Source organism: Homo sapiens, chromosome 8, assembly GCF_000001405.40.
Source record: "Homo sapiens chromosome 8, GRCh38.p14 Primary Assembly".
NCBI lineage: Eukaryota > Metazoa > Chordata > Mammalia > Primates > Hominidae > Homo > Homo sapiens.
Window position 1 is genome coordinate 90,219,538 of NC_000008.11, and position 16,218 is coordinate 90,235,755.

Here is a 16,218-nt window from a genome sequence, read left to right on the forward strand (position 1 = left end):
AGAGTGGGTTCTAAGTATATCTCTTTGTTGTTTTAATGTTAAATACACCCTTTCGAACTAGTAAAATCTTTGAGAAACTGTGACTCCTCCCTAGCTCTCTGGACTCCCAAAGCTTTAATCCACTGTTTAGTGTTCTTTTAACAATTATGATGTGGCTATAATTTATTCATTGATCAATTCATTCATTGATTCATTAACTCAACAGTGATAACTGAACATCTGCAATAGGTCAAGCGATATTCCAGGAATAAAAAACTGAATTAAATTGATTCCTGCTCTCAAGGACTTGACTAACCTAATTGGAAACATGGACCTAGACAGTAAGAATTAAAATACAATGTGGTAGATGCAAATAAAGTACAAAATGTTATTCAAGTTCTGATCTAGTCAAATCTTAATATGTCAAGGGCTTTCAGTTGCCATTTTCCTTGTCATGAGAACATCTTTCTAACATGCTCAGGGTTGATTTCTAATGGTAAGAGAATGAGGTTGGAATGAGATAGGAGCTGACTTCCAGTCAACACTGTGGGCTCCACATATCACTTTTCTTTAGTCCATTATCAGTGCTATTATCTAGTTCAGAACTTGATATGCTCAAAACACCCTAGTTTCTGTTCTTGCATCTTAAAGTAGAAAGATCAGATGCTATTTCCATTAGTTGTCCATCTAAGGATACCATATAGCTATTCCCTTGATAGATTTAGTTTCACCACCTTACATTGAATTTTTCTTAAGAAGGAAGCAACTAAAATAAACAAGAAGTTCAATCCTGAGATTCTGAGGGCAATGGCATTTGCAAGCAATTTGTGGCAGGTAAGAGAGCAGTCCATAAAGTACTTCCTCCTAGGATGTTCTTGTGATTTCTGCTCTAATATATCTCCCACCCCCAAAATGCATGCAAGTGCCTACACACACACACACACACACACACACTGCCACCACCTTCTCCACTTCCCTAAACCCAATGAATGACTAACTTGCACAACATTCATCCACAGATTTTAAATATGAATACAAAGAAGGGATTCTAGTGATTGATACTTTTCCTGACCTTTAGATAACAGTTAACTAAACCATTTTAAGCTGATGTTGACATAGCCTATTAAATATCTCTACAGCAGAAATTCTATAATCTGCATTGTTCAGAAGTCCTGAAGTCTATGATTTAATGTAAAAATAGACCAGAAATCTGAAGAATTTATACAATTTATATTTATAACACAGTTGACTTAGTTGAATGTGTCAGAACACAATATGTGTACATATAAAATTTTTGGTGAAGTATGCCATAAAATTATAATTTGTTCATTAATTTTACCAGTTCACAAACATTTCTTAGGTATGGGTAATATGTCAGGCTATATGCTAGTTATTGTGGATACATGGATAAGAAAAAGACAATCCTCATCTTAAAGGAACAAACTCATTGGAGATAGACCTGTAAACAAAGAATTACCACACACAGTAATAAACATAGGGGAAAAAGAAAAATTAATCATCAGGATAGGAATGAAGGAGTTTTAGGGAAGACTTCCAAAGAAATAGGTTTTTGAACTGTGTCTTAAATATTTGCTACTCACAAAGTGTGGTTTTCAAACTGGGGGTATTCGCCTTTTCCAGAAGCCTGTTAGAACTTCAGAATCTCAGATCCCATTCAGGACATACCAAATCAGGATCTCTATTTTAATAAGATCTCTGGTCATTTGTATGACATTAAATTTTAAGAAGGTTTGCTTTAAAGGATGGTGAAGAATTCCCAAGTAGGTTTGAAGGAAAGGAAAAATATTCTCCAGAAGTGGGAACGATACTTGTAAAGGGACTATCTTGGACAAGATTCTCCTCAGAAGCACACTCTGAGGCAAAGAGTTGAGTACAGCAGTTTATTTGGGAGGAAACACTAGTAGGGGAGTGGGAAGTGAGATAAGGAAGGGAAGAATGACTGTAAAGAGTGTCTTTTCTGGCAGATTACTTCTGTGAGCAACTGGGTCTCTCAGTTCTTTGGGAGCACCCTGGGAAACAGTGTGGCTATGACTTGGAGCTGCTCACCAGTTCCAGTCATTCTGTGGTTGAGAGCTGCTCCCTATGGATGTTAATTCTTCTCTATTTTAGATTTTCCACAGGTGTGGGCCCCATTAGCTCTGGCCACCTGAGAAAGCCCTCAGGCAAAGAGTCGCAGGTGAAAGCCAGCAGTTAGAGGTTCACAGAAATGGTGAGTGCTGAACGGATATGGGTGGGTATCAATGATGGCTGCTATAGAGATCAAGGCATGAAACGGGACTACAAGGTATACTCAAGGAATTGCTGGTTGTCTAGCATTCTGGGAGTGTAGGGAATAAGTGTGGAAGTATCAGGATCTAAGGGTGTCTAGATACATAACAGCCAAATCATGAAGGGCCGTGTGAGGAAGACATGCTAAGGAAGTTGGAACTTATTTTGCGGGCCACTAAATATTTAAAAAATAGAGTGTCATAGTAGAAATTTCATCTTTGGAAAGATTATTTTGCAGTCTAGAGGGTGGGACTTCAGTGAGACTGAAGACAGAGAGGCCAGTTAAGAACTCTATCATCTTGGATACAGCTTTTGTAGTTACGGTATCACCATTAGCTGACTGGATTAATTAATATCTCTATTGAGCTTCTGCTGTGTTTGCAGCATTTTGCAGGTAGCTGTGTGAGGTATATCAGGTATTTTCTTTAATTAATGAAAATAATCTGTTTAAAGTCTATTCAATATATTGGTGCTATTGCTGTATGTTAGTAAGTGTTGGTGTGTTTAAATTTTACATGATGTGTATATATCACAGGTCTTGAGTACGCTAGCTGATACCTAGTATCATTCTCTAAAAAACGACCAATAGTATTTTTCTTTTTCCTGAGAGCACAGGATGAAATTTAAGCTAATAATTTTCTTTTATACCAAAAAATTACCTTTATACAAATTTTTTAATACCAAAAGTTCCCATTCATTGGGAACTATATGTAGGTCCCCAGTGAATGAATATATTAATTATTCACCTTGCCCATGGACACTAGTCACATTTTATTTGCGACCATTGCCACATCTCATAGAATAGGAATTTCTTGATTATTGCTATATTCACTCATATCAAAGTGTTGCCTTCCATTTCTCTTAGCTAAGATAGGCAGAAAACTTTTTACTAAGCCAGATAAATAATGGCTCATGTACTAATCCTTGTGAAATTAAACAAAAAAATCTGTGAAATTAAAAAAAATTATGAAATTAAAAAAAAATGGAAAGAAATTCCTGCCATGTCACTTACTATCCCTAATCTTAATTTCAGTGTTGTATAGATGTGTGCTTCTAAAATGTCGTGTTTTTCACACTTCGTTTCAATCCTTGAACTCTATTGAAAAGCTTCATTATATATTCTCCATTACTGATCTCGTTATAAAAATTTGATGTTGCTTAAAATAACCATTTGCTTTATTAAGCCAAGCTTTGTTTACTTCTGTATCTGTTGAGATTAACCTCCCATCACCATCCTTATACATGTACCCTTTGATTATTCTCAGTATTGATATCTTGGTCTTCCAAGAGCTGTAAGTTTTTAATTCACAAAAGGAAGGAGGTTCTAGGATTCAACTAATGTGATGACTAGATTTGTATATGGTATTAAAGTATTAAAGGAGAGAATTTCTTCGCCCATAGCTTATCATTTATTTGAATGCAGAGAAAATTTACTGGGGAGATTCAAAATGATAAATTTGTCTATGTGGAATTCAATAAGCAAAATGCTGAAATAGAGTCTAAATCTTCCATCATCACTAAAGCTGTTTGATAAGAAATTTATCTCCTCTTGTCTGCTTTAGCTTGATCTAAGTTAAGTACTAATGAATCATGACCCAGTCTGTGTTCCTTTGTCCTCACATTTTACTTGCTGTGGCAAGGATTCAAAAGTGATTGATTAATGTCAAATAGGTTTTCGCTCTCTATTGGAAATCTTGCTGCAGTAACACATGCTTTTTTTGTTTTAAATTTATATAAGGCAACTTTCTCTATGGTGGGTACCGTAGAAGACTAGAAGTTTCTATTATAACACATTCATCATTTTGAAAAATGAAGGTGGCTGGCTGCAGTGGCTCACGCCTGTAATCCCAGCACTTTGGGAGGCCGAGGCGGGTGGATCACCTGAGGTCAGGAGTTCGAGACCAGCCTGGACAACATGGTGAAACCCTGTCTCTACTAAAAATACAAAATTAGCTGGGTGTGGTGGCGGGTGCCTGTAATCCCAGCTACTTGGGAGGCTGAGGCAGGAGAATAGCTTGCACCCAGGAGGCGAAGGTTGCAGTGAGTCGAGATCATGCCACGGCACTCTAGCCTGGACAACAGAACGAGACTCCGTCTCAAAAAAAAAAAAAAAAAGTGTGAAGCTATCTGAAGATTGACTCAATTGACCTGATGCAATGAGGAAGTCCACTAGAGGATTTAAGCAATAGGCCAAGTTTTCAATCAAATCTTAAAATAATTAAGTGACCTTAAAATTCTTGACTAAATTTCTGAGTGATCACTTGTGTATTCTCATCAAATGAGGTAGTTAAGAGACCTGAGGAAGAGAATACTTTTGGATCTGAGTTTCTGTCTGTTAAGTAAAAATGGATTTGTTGTATAATCTGAGTAAGCTGTTTACCATCTCAAGAGTCTCCATTAAGAAAAAAAATGTTAGATAGTGGACAACAATGCTCTCTTTATGAGGATTACATGGTGTAAAGTGACTGTCATGTGTCAAAGCTTCATAAATTGGGGAAATAGATAAATAACTGTGGATAGTTTTGCCTTTTTGTAAACAGATACTGATAAAAAGACCTAGAATAAAGGCTCTCTCTTTTAATAATTTCTGAATTTCTTGTAACTTTCCACTGCCTTTCACTCAAACTCCCCATTACTCCAGTTATGCAGCATTTATGCTGGGGGCTTTATGGGCTGCCATTGCTGCTGTGCATGCTTTTCCATTTAATTTTAAAGTTCCATTGTTCTAGGGCATTAGGATTGTTATCAGATTTCTTAAGGTCAAGGTCAGTGAGTCAAATATACTGGAGCATAAAACATTTTTTTCATCCTTTTAAAAGTCACATTTATTTTGAAAAGACCAGGAAACCCACCCATCTTTACCTCTCCTTAATGTTGATCCAATCTGAGCTTTAAATTTTTTACTTTTTGCAGCATGATTTGTAACATAGATGGCTAGCCTTAAATTTGGCCAAAAAAAAAAAAAAAAAGGGTTTCTTTTTTGCTTTTGCTGAAGCGAGCCCTTCTGGTCATCTATAGGTCAGCTCTTGTTGGTGAACTGATGACAGTGGAGGCACCTGCACTTTGGAAATAAACATTATATCAAAAGAAGTCAAGCAGCAAAGGTTAAACCAGAACATGGACCCTGTTGCTCACATGAGCCCCAGGCAGGCATTCTATAGAATCTGAGAAGCTAGTCTCTAGGGAGAGGCAGAACTTTGTGTTCTCGCCCAATCACTCTCCACTGCTGCTCAGGACAATGCAGACATGCCCTAGTGAAAGTCAGCTCTACCCACGCAAAGCGAGATAGGAGAACATTTTAGGGTGAAACTAGAAAATGATACATGAAGATAATTGCAAAAAATAAAGTGATTTTAAAGTTTTCTTTGGGGCATGGTCATCTGCATGGGGATATCTAGAACTGTGGCAGCCATCTGGAGACCTTGAAGCAAGTCAGTCTAAAAGCAGACACTTTGCTATGTCTTAAATCTCACTATTGGCAAAATGGAAAGAAGAAAAGCATCTATGTTTATTACTTCCACTGGTTTACTGAATTAACCAACATAACAAGAAAGGAGAGAGTTTCAGGAATTTTTGTATGTTAAAGAAGTGATTTTTAGATGTTAGCAACTATAAACTAAAGATGGTCCTTTGAGTTAGAGATAAAATAGAGCTTTTTGGTGACCTCCTTTGTAGTTGAATAACCACTACCTACACAGGATCTTCACTGAGGCAATTGGTTTTAAATATCACCTTTGAAGCCAACATTTCTCCTGTTAATTTACAATCTTTAGAGTGATAGGTAATTAAAAGGCTATAACAGGGAATGTGCTCACAGAATAAATATGAAACACCTTTGATACTGTGGTGCTAAAGGATAGATGAGAAAGTCTTCAGTCAGCTTCAGGTTTTCTCCCATTCGAATCATGAGGTTAGCATTTAATTAGTAAAGGGGTGGGACAATGTAACAGACTAGGTATCTAAAGACTCATTCTTTCCTTCACTTAGGAGAATTACTACCAGCCAATTATCCTTTTACAAAATGCTATTTATCTCATCTTCATGTATACATCTTAGAAATAAGGGAGGATGCTATGATTCATGCCTGTGATTTTGGTCTCTTGGTTTTAAAATTGCCCGTAAGTGTAGATGCTGTTATGATGTCACACTCACAAGAAACCTGAGTTTACCATCAAGACCCATTGTGAAAGCTTGACATTGTTATTCCAGCATTATCCAAAGTTATTATTTTTGTGAGGCAGGATGAAGCTGAATTGAACTAAAGAACTAGACATACTGTACAAAACCTGATGACTTTTTCTTGAAAGCTGACCCAGACTGCTACAAGCTCTTTAACTTTTGTAATTTAAAATTAATTTGAATGAAAAAATATTAGGAGCACTTGTTTCTGGCTATTTTGAACAAAGTCATTTCTTTTTGGAACATTAATGGCTCCAAGGTAGAAGGAGAAAAATGAGAACTTGCTTATGAGCTTATGGAAGAAACATTACGTTTTCAAAATGAGAACCCAAGGTAATTACTTCACTTGAGGAAAAAAGGGAGTATGGCACTTTGGCACATTCCACAAACCAATTAAATATTAGCAAAACAAGTAGCCTTAGAAATGACATTTCTTTATGTGGAATATATAAGCTCAGATTTTAGAGATAAATCTTATCTCAACACTTCTGTCTCTGCCTCCCTACTCCACTCCTATAAGTTTCTCACCTATAAACAAGAAAATATTCTTCAGAGTATCAGCTTGGCATTAGCATAGGTCATGGAAAATCCAGTGAGCCCAGTAACAGAGTGTGATACTGTGTGTAATGCTACTTCCAGGAAGTGCAGTGCTGCTACCTGGGGAAACAGACTCAGATGAATGGGCTGACCTTGGGTGAGTTGTATAGTCATGCTTTCTTGGTTTCCTCAGCTGCAAAGGGGTAATGGTGATGCTATCTACCTTGCTGGTGTTCCACATATATTACTGAAATGGTAGTTGGTTAACACTTTGAATGAATGTGCTGTTTTAAAACTGCCCTTATTGCCGTCTCTTCAGGGCATAGAAATCTTTTACAGCCAGGAGCTAGTCTACCTGTACACCATGTCCATGAAGGTTGGAAAGGAGAAGAATGTGAATCTTAGACGAGAGCATGAGTTCAATTATTTAGATCATGACAAGGCAATGCACTTATTTGTGAGTGGAGAAAGACCATTCTGCATCTGGCAGTGGCCACCCCCAAATAAACATAAGTAAAATTAAGTTATATTTCCATCATACTCAAATTAAAAATTAAAAAACTGTCCAGAAAAGGGCAAAGATGAATATATATTGAGGGGAATTGATAATTATTTATTCTCAACATGTACTAATCATTACACTGGAAGAATGCATAAGTTATTTTCATATGGTCTGCTTATAGCAAACTCACTCTTATAGCTATCAGATACTCAAGGGTTTTCATTAAAAACCGGTACTCAAATTAATAGTCTTCCAGTTCGAATGGGAATAGGAGAAAAGGTTAGACACGGCTGTTATTTCAGCTTTGGCTGCTGTCCAAGACGCTGATGTGCTGTTACCTAGCAGTAGGCATTGGGGCCACAGAAAGCCTATGTGTCAATTCTATGACCAATCTGCCTGAAGTTCTGCAACAGTGAAAATAGTAACTTTCTTAGAATCCCATGGCTCACAACACTTCTGCTTATAGAAATAAAATTTGTCTTTTGAAGAATGTGCACTACAACTGGAAAAATAGGTCAAGACATTTTAAAGTGCATTTAGATAACAAGAAATGTTCAGTGATAGTCACAAAATCCAACCCCTATGTGCCATTAATTAGTGCACTTTCAGCTTTGAATGCCGTTGGTTGTCCACAATCCAGGCATCTTAAACCTGTAAAAGAAAAGGATGGATTTTATGGCCACCTCGCTATGGCGGTTTTAAATAGAGTAATAACCTAAGTTCTATCATTATTAAGTCTCAAAGACAGTGATGCCTAATAGTATAATTATTTGTCTGTTTATAGATTCTCAATGAACAGTATGTCTTAGTTTATTGCTGTACTTGTTTGGATGTTAATTAACTGTCAGAGCAATTAAATAACAATTCTTATCATTTGAGGGGCTTAAGGAGAGTCTGCTGGGTCAGTTTAAGATTTAAATGTAGTCCAAATTGCCCAAGATAACATTTTTTCCCCTTTCCCTTTAGAAGCATTTTTATATGCATTGTTCTTTAGAATCCTCCACAGACAGCATACTCTCCAGTTTTGGAAATTCTGTTTGGAACTCAAAAATGCTCCCTTTAAGGAATGTCTTATAATGATTTTTTTTTTATAACCAAGCCAGAGATAAAGAAGCAGTGGGTTCAGCCATTTATATCACACCCTTTGCACACATCTTTCCCACCTTAGCTTGCATGTACATATGTAAATAATGTGAGTCAAGAAACTGAGAAAAATGTGCACATCTTCTACTGAATTCCCCAAATGGGCAACTCAGGCCATTATTGGCTCTTCAGTTACCTAGCAAATATGCTTTCTGCTAGAAAGAGTGGAAAGGCAGAAGCTCCTGAAATTGCTCAGCTATCTGGGTAAACTCAAGAGCCATGGGACTGGGAATTTCAATCTGGATTCTCTAAAATCTCTTTGTGAGTATTGAGGTTGCTTGCTGGCTTAGAAAACTGTCAGTGCTCACAAGAAACTCTTCACAACTATTAACAGATGACTCAGTTTGCCTCTGTATGTTCTCCCAATAGCAGAATTGTTGGCTGGCACCTGCTCCGCTTTTTAAGCAATCCCAGAAAATGGATGTTAAAACCTTCTGGTGATTCAGCAGCGTGTGGAAATGTTACTGCTGTGCTAGAAGGATTTGTTTCTACAGGCAAAGAGCTTTTATGTATTTGCCTGGGTTATTTAATAAATTTTGGTTTATAGAGGCCATTTATTTATGCTTTTCTGTCTATAGCTGGACCACACTACTCTGTTATATAAACACTGAACCAATCCTCCATGCTACTATATTTTTGAGTTTTTTACATCAAATTAGTTTTATACATCATACTCTTCATACCACACCAAAAGACTGTTTTGAGGACTGGCCTTCACAAAAGTTGAGCTTTAACTGTATATTTAAAGAAACAACTGTCCCCTTTCCACTGTTTTTTCAGAAGTCTGAATCAGCCCCTGCCCCCAGGGTAAAATTACACTTAGCACCACCTCATGCAGCTGGCAGGACAACTCATCCAATTTACTCCACAGATATAATCCTGCATTTGAATAACTGAGGTAAACATAGTTTATTGCTACCATAAGGTACTGTCCTTGCAACTGTAGGCAGTCATTAAGTCAATGATAATTTATGGTTCTATCACCACAAAAAGGTGTATCAAACTTTTTGAACTCTGCAATCAAAAAGAACTAAAAATGCCCATAAATCTGAATGTTATCATCCTAAAACCTTTGAGGATTGAGCTGATGTCATCTTCTTTCCCAGTTATACTGCACCACATAATTATTATGTTAAAAAGAGAAAAGAAAATGTATTACAAGCCTTGTAGACATAATTTGATGTGAGAAAACCTTAAAATACATGAGTTTCATAAAGTGGAGTCCATCAACCCATGATATAGTCCGTCAGCATCTATAGGCCATGGGTCCTGTAGATGTAATTGTCCTAATGAAACAAGCCCATTTAAAGCATATATATTCTGTGCTAGGTTCTGCACACAGCAAATTCTATAAAAAAATTGATATTTGGTTTTATAAAGTCCTAAGCTGGCAGTCAAGAAGAATGGTCTCTTTTACACATTCGAAATAGCCATTCCACATCTTGGACCTGGTCCTGCTCTGTGGACGGTATTATCACCACTGTGTCTTTTAGCTCTAAGACTGTTTTGGAAAAAAATCTTATAGATACTCTAAAGCCATACATTGCAGAAGAGAATGTTTAACATTAAGATACAAAAGTAGTTTTAAATTTTAGAGCAAGACAAATAAATTTATTAAACTAATCTCATGTTATTTGTGCCCACACTGAGATAACAGACAGTTCTACAGTCATTTTAAAATGCAAATGTTTTCAGTTCAGGAATTAGGCTTATCTTTGGAAAATAGTAATCAAAACCCCAAATGTTATTTAACAGGTAAACTCCTTTTGACAGGTTGGGTTTACTTTGGTCTGGAAAATTCTAGTAGAAAAGTGGTGGGATGGAGTTAATTTCTTATTTGTTTTTCCTGCCTCATGGCTCCCTCTTGCTAACTAGTTTCTAAACACTTTGGAGTGGAGAAGTAGCAGGGAGAAGAGAGGAAGAAATAAATGGGTAGGGTCTAGGTCTTACTAGATCAAAGTAACATGGCTTCTTGCCCTCTGGGGCTGGCCCTTTCTGTTGTGAAAAACATTTTTCAGAGGCTGAAAGAGTGTACCTTCTGGGTCTCATTCTTTCTTCCCAGCAATCCTCTTGACCCAAGTAGATGCATCCTATTCTGGGTAGATTTGCAGTTTCTTCCACAGCCATTTATCCCCAGCTTGTTGCTTCTGTGCCTCTTCTGCACCTGCAAGCTATGCTATTGGAAAGAGCCCAGAGTGATCTGGAATCTGCTCTACCATGTGGCACCCCTCTCTGTTGAGGGAAGCACTGATTCCCCACTGTCCCCCAACAAATTATAGGAGTCTATTTCTCTTCTCCTGACTCCTATCTAGGTATTACTTGGCTCTCACTGTCTAAATTTCCTGGGTAGGTGTCAGATCCCGGTCTGTCCTGCCCTCCACGTTAGGCAGTCACATAGGCACTCCAAGTAGCCCCATGGACTCACTCTCACCAGACTTGGGGCATCTGCCACCTTTCTCATGAGTTAAAGGAGAGGGCTCAAAGTCGAGCTTTCTTCAGTGACATCTCAACAAATCCTCCTCACAGGATTCTCCCTCCTACACTTTTGCACACATTTAATATTTCAAAGTGCATAAAAAGGTTCAAGAGATAAGGAAGAATTTCTTGGGAATTTCCTCTGAAAATTTGCATTTAATGATTCCGCAATTCACCACGAGCCCCTCATCTTTTATAAGTTAATGTTTAGTTGAAATATCAATTTTAACACCTAGCAGCTTGGCTAGATGGTTAAGCATTTATAGAAAGGATGCGCAATGAATACATAATTGCAGAAATACTCTTTTAAAAAATCCACAATTGAGTTTTTTAAGAAACCTAACTACTTTAATGAGATTTAATTCATATACCACAAAATTCAACTTTCAAAACGTGTATGACTCACTGTTTTTTAGTGTATTCACAGAATGACGCAACCATCAGAACTAATTTTAGAGTAGTTTCATCACCCTCAAGAGACACCCTATATCTCTTAACAGTCATCCCCATTCCCTGCCCACTACCTACACCTCTGGAAACCAGAGGTTTCTTCCTGTATCTATGAATTTGCCTATTCTGAACAGTTAATAAAAGTTAAGTGGCTGGGTGCAGTGGCTCACACTTCTAATCCTAGCACTTTGGGAGGCTGAAGCGGGAGGATTGCTTGAGCCCAGGAGTTCAGGGCAGCCTGGGCAACATAGGGAGAGCCCCATCTCTACAAAAAAGCAAAAACGTTAGTCAGCATGGTGGCATGCAGCTGTGGTCACAGCTACTTGGGAAGCTGAGGTGGAAGGGTCACTTGAGCCCCAGAGGTTGAGGCTGTAGTAAGCTGTGGTTGCGCCACCACACTCTAGCCTGAGTGACAGAGTGAGACATTGTCTCAAAAAAGAAAAAGAAGAAAAGAAAAGAAAGTGAAAAATAGAGTCATACAACATATCACCTCTTGTATATGGTTTCTTTTACTCAGCATAATGTTCCCAAGATCCATCCGTGTTGTAGTTTCCACTGTTACTTCATACTTTTTACTTCCAAATAATATTTCATTGTATGGATACACCACATTTTGTTGATACATTTATTATTTGATGGACATTTGGGTTGTTGTCAATTTTTGGATATTATGAATAATGTGGCTACGAACATTTGTGTACAAATTTTTGAGTGGACATGCTTTCATTTCTCTTGGGTATAAACCTAGGACTGGATCATATACTAACTGCATATTTAACATTTTGAGGAAGTGTTTACCAAAGTGTTTACTAAAGTGTCTGCACTATTTTGCATTCCCACCAGCAATGTATGAGGGTTCCAATTTCTCCACATCCACACCAACACTTGTTATTACCTTTTGTTTTTATTTTAATTATCCTAGTGTTGGTAAACTGATTTTGATTTGCATTTCCCTAATGACAAATGATGTTGAACATATTTTCATTTGTTTTCTGGCCACTTGTGTATATATTTTGGAAAAATGTATATTCATGTGCTTTTCTCATTTATTAATTACTTTTTAATTGTTAATTAAAAGTTCTTTATTTATGATGCAAGTCCCTTATCAGATAGATGATTGCAAAATTTTCTTCCCATCTGTGGGTTGTATGTTTACTTGGTGTCCTTTGAAGCATGAAAATCTTTAATTTTGTTGAAATCCGATATATATCTTTTCTATTGTTACTTGTACATTTACTGTTATCTAAGAAACCATTGCCTATCCCAATGTTATGAAAATTTATTCTATGTTCTCTCCTAAGAGTTCTAGAGTTTAGGCCTTCAATTTATACCAACGATCCATTTTGAATTAATTTCTGTATATAATATGAGAGAAGTGTCCAACTTTATTCTTTTGCATTTGGGTAACCAGTTATTCTGGCAACATGTGTTTGAAAGGAGATTCTTGGCCTGGCATGGTGGCTCACACCTATAATGCCAGCACTTTGGGAGGCCGAGGCAGGCAGATCACTTGAGGTCAGGAGTTCAAGACCAGCCTGGCCAACGTGGTGAAACCCCATCTCTATTAAAAATATAAAAATCAGCCTAGTGTGGTGGTGGGCACCTGTAATCCCAGCTACTTGGGAGGCTGAGGCAGGAGAATTGCTTGAACCTGGGAGGCAGATGTTTCAGTGAGCCAAGATTAAGCCACTGCACCCCGGCCTGGGTGACAGAGCGAGACTCCATCTCAAAATAAATAAATAAGTAAATAAATGTTTAAAAAGTTTAAAAAATAAAAGGAAATTCTCAAGACTTAACAGCAGCTTGGGTGTTTTGGTGGCATCTGTGTCCAGGTGTAAGTGATGATAAAACACTATATATGGAAAGTTCAGTTATAAAAATAATTTATTGCTCCTTGAGGGAGTTCCTGACTCAGGACTGAACTATATGAAAATAAACATCCCACTACAATTAGTTCATGTTTCTTTATTTTTATTTTTTGGCTGCTGTACACCCAAGATAGCTGCCTTTGGGGTCAAAATGCATTCCTGCAATTCTTAAGGATTCCAATATTCCTCTCTATGTTGATGAAATAAGGCTAAGGAACAAAAAAGACTGATGTTACCTGTAACAAATTATAAAAACAAAAATTGCATTGAGGTTTTATATATATATATATATATTTATATATATATTTATATATATATTTATGTATATATATTTGTATATATATTTATATATATATTTATGTATATATATTTATATATATATTTATGTATATATATTTATGTATATATATTTATGTATATATATTTATATATATATTTATATATATATTTATATATATATATAAACACACACACACACACACACACACACACTACTCTCAGACTTTTATACAAGATTTCGTGATCTTGTATAAAAGACAAAAATTGCATTGAGGTTATATATATATACACATATATATGTGTATATACACACACACACATATATGTATATATATATATATACACATATATATGTGTGTGTGTGTATATATATATACGCACACTACTCTCAGACTTATATACAAGATTTCATGATGAGCAGCTAACAAAGAGACTGAATATCCTAACAAGGTCATTTTTAAATGATGTAACAGCAAAAAAATGGAAAGATTTTTCTTTGTTATAAGAGTATAGTAAAACCTAAATGAACAGAGTGCTAGAAAATTTTCCTACTTCAGCAACCTATTATCAGAGTAATTTATATCTGCATTGATCTGCAAACCTAAATAAAGAACCAAACTATATTATATGTCAATTCAGGGGAATATTCTCTACATGTTTGAATTGTGTGTGACCAAGAATTGTGTTTCATTACAAATTTGTAGGGACTGCATTAGCTCCACCATGAACAAATTGCCTATTATAATATGTGCTAAATTTATAAACAATTAAGTGATTTATATCTTCAACTGTGTTTCTTTTTTTAATGTTACTTCCTTGACTTTTAATTAGAGTCCTGGGAGGTAAGAGAGAGAAGAAGCAGAATTGCTTGTCCCAGTTAGTTCTGTATCATCAGTCATCATTAGGAAATTAATACGACTTTGCCATCCTCTTTTCTATCTAGATATACATGGGTATGTTAGAGTAGAAAATAACCACTTGAAACTTACAAAAGCAGGTGAGAAGGGTTAGAATACTGTTCAAGATATTGGGGTTACTAAGATCTCATGAGAACAAAGGGCTAAGGTTGTAGGTACTTCAGGGGAGGTAAAAGTAAATAAATTGCTAGAAAAGGTCAATACAGTCTCAGATTACTGTTGCTGGGAACCAAGATGGTAAGACCCCTTGTGAATAGAGATATTAAAGGACAGGAAATCTTTCTATATTCTCAGCACTCCAGGAATAAATCACTGTGCACAGTCAGATAAGACTGAACTACATTAATCTGTTAATACTAAGATCAATTATTTCATTACTCTTTAATATGCTAATAATCAGAAATCAGGGAAATTCTAGAGCTAATGATTGGCAGGAGAGAGAAGAAGCAGAGGTGTTGTGAGATCCATGTATCAAAAAATCAATCACAGAAACTTAAAAATGGATTCAAGTTTTCAATGTCAGACTAAAGACAAGTTTATCAACTCTTCCTCCCATGACCTAATTACAGAAACAGGAATGACATTAAAGAAGGCAACCAATTAAAGAATGACATAAAAGTGACATAATTTCCAACAGAAATAATGAACTGTAGAAGGGATCATCAGTGGACATAACATTTAATAAAATCTGTGGAAGTCAGAAAGCTGAGGAAGGGATGGTGACTACTGAATTGAGTGAAGGAAACCATAGCCTAGAATATCCTTGAGGGCCACTGCAGTGAAAGAGGCCTCTAATCTACCTGTAGGGTCCCATAGGTGCTATAGATTTAAAGAAGAGATCCCCAGCATAACGACTGGCTTTCTTCTCACTCAATTTAAAGCAAAGTCTGCCAGCCAGCAAGCTCAACTCACATACAGCACCCAGTCAGCCTTTCTGTTGCCTTATTCTTATATATAAACAAGCAACAAAGGATCATAGATATTTGAGGAAAGCCTGCAACACAAGAGAGACTGGATGAAAAAAATGCATCAGGAAAAACAGGAAAAATTTCAATAATGCAAAAAGAATTATATCCTTAAATTGGTGACCTCAGATATTTTTATGACTATACTACATATGCAAATGAGATAAGCATATTGTAAAAAATAAAAAATGAATTCCAATTCAAGATGGCAGATCAGCACATGCATTGATCTCTTTTTCCTATTGACTCCATGAAAACAATAGTAAAATAAAAAGGTATAAACCTACATAAGTGGAGTGAGAAACTAGAAAATGTGAGATCAGAATAAGTTTCTGAAATCTAGAAAGAAATCCAGTGAACACTGGGAAATAATGAAGCAGAGTGGCAGGCTTTCAAGCTAGAGAAACTTGACTTAATGTTACTAATGGGACCCTAATAAGGCCTATGGAAAAATGAATTTTAATATATTATTACAGAAGTCCAGGAGGAAGGCCATGAGAGCCACATGAAGACCACAAGTCTATGAAAGGCCATCCAATGTGTTGGTAGGTCCTATAAAAGAAATTAATGGAGAGGTCCTTAAAAAAGAAGCAATAATTAGGGATTTACATTTGAATAACTTGACTTTGGAAAAG

The 16,218-nt window shown here is 36.4% G+C and overlaps 1 long non-coding RNA gene across 1 annotated transcript in view; it reads left to right on the forward strand.

The window, feature by feature from the left end:
• The first annotated feature begins 1,950 nt into the window (after nucleotides 1-1,950).
• The window catches only part of LINC00534 (long intergenic non-protein coding RNA 534), a 166,472-nt gene continuing 152,204 nt past the window's right edge, over nucleotides 1,951-16,218 (forward strand). The window contains exon 1 of the long non-coding RNA NR_051989.1: nucleotides 1,951-2,209. This is a non-coding gene — a long non-coding RNA (long intergenic non-protein coding RNA 534). The remainder of the gene's footprint in view (nucleotides 2,210-16,218) is intronic.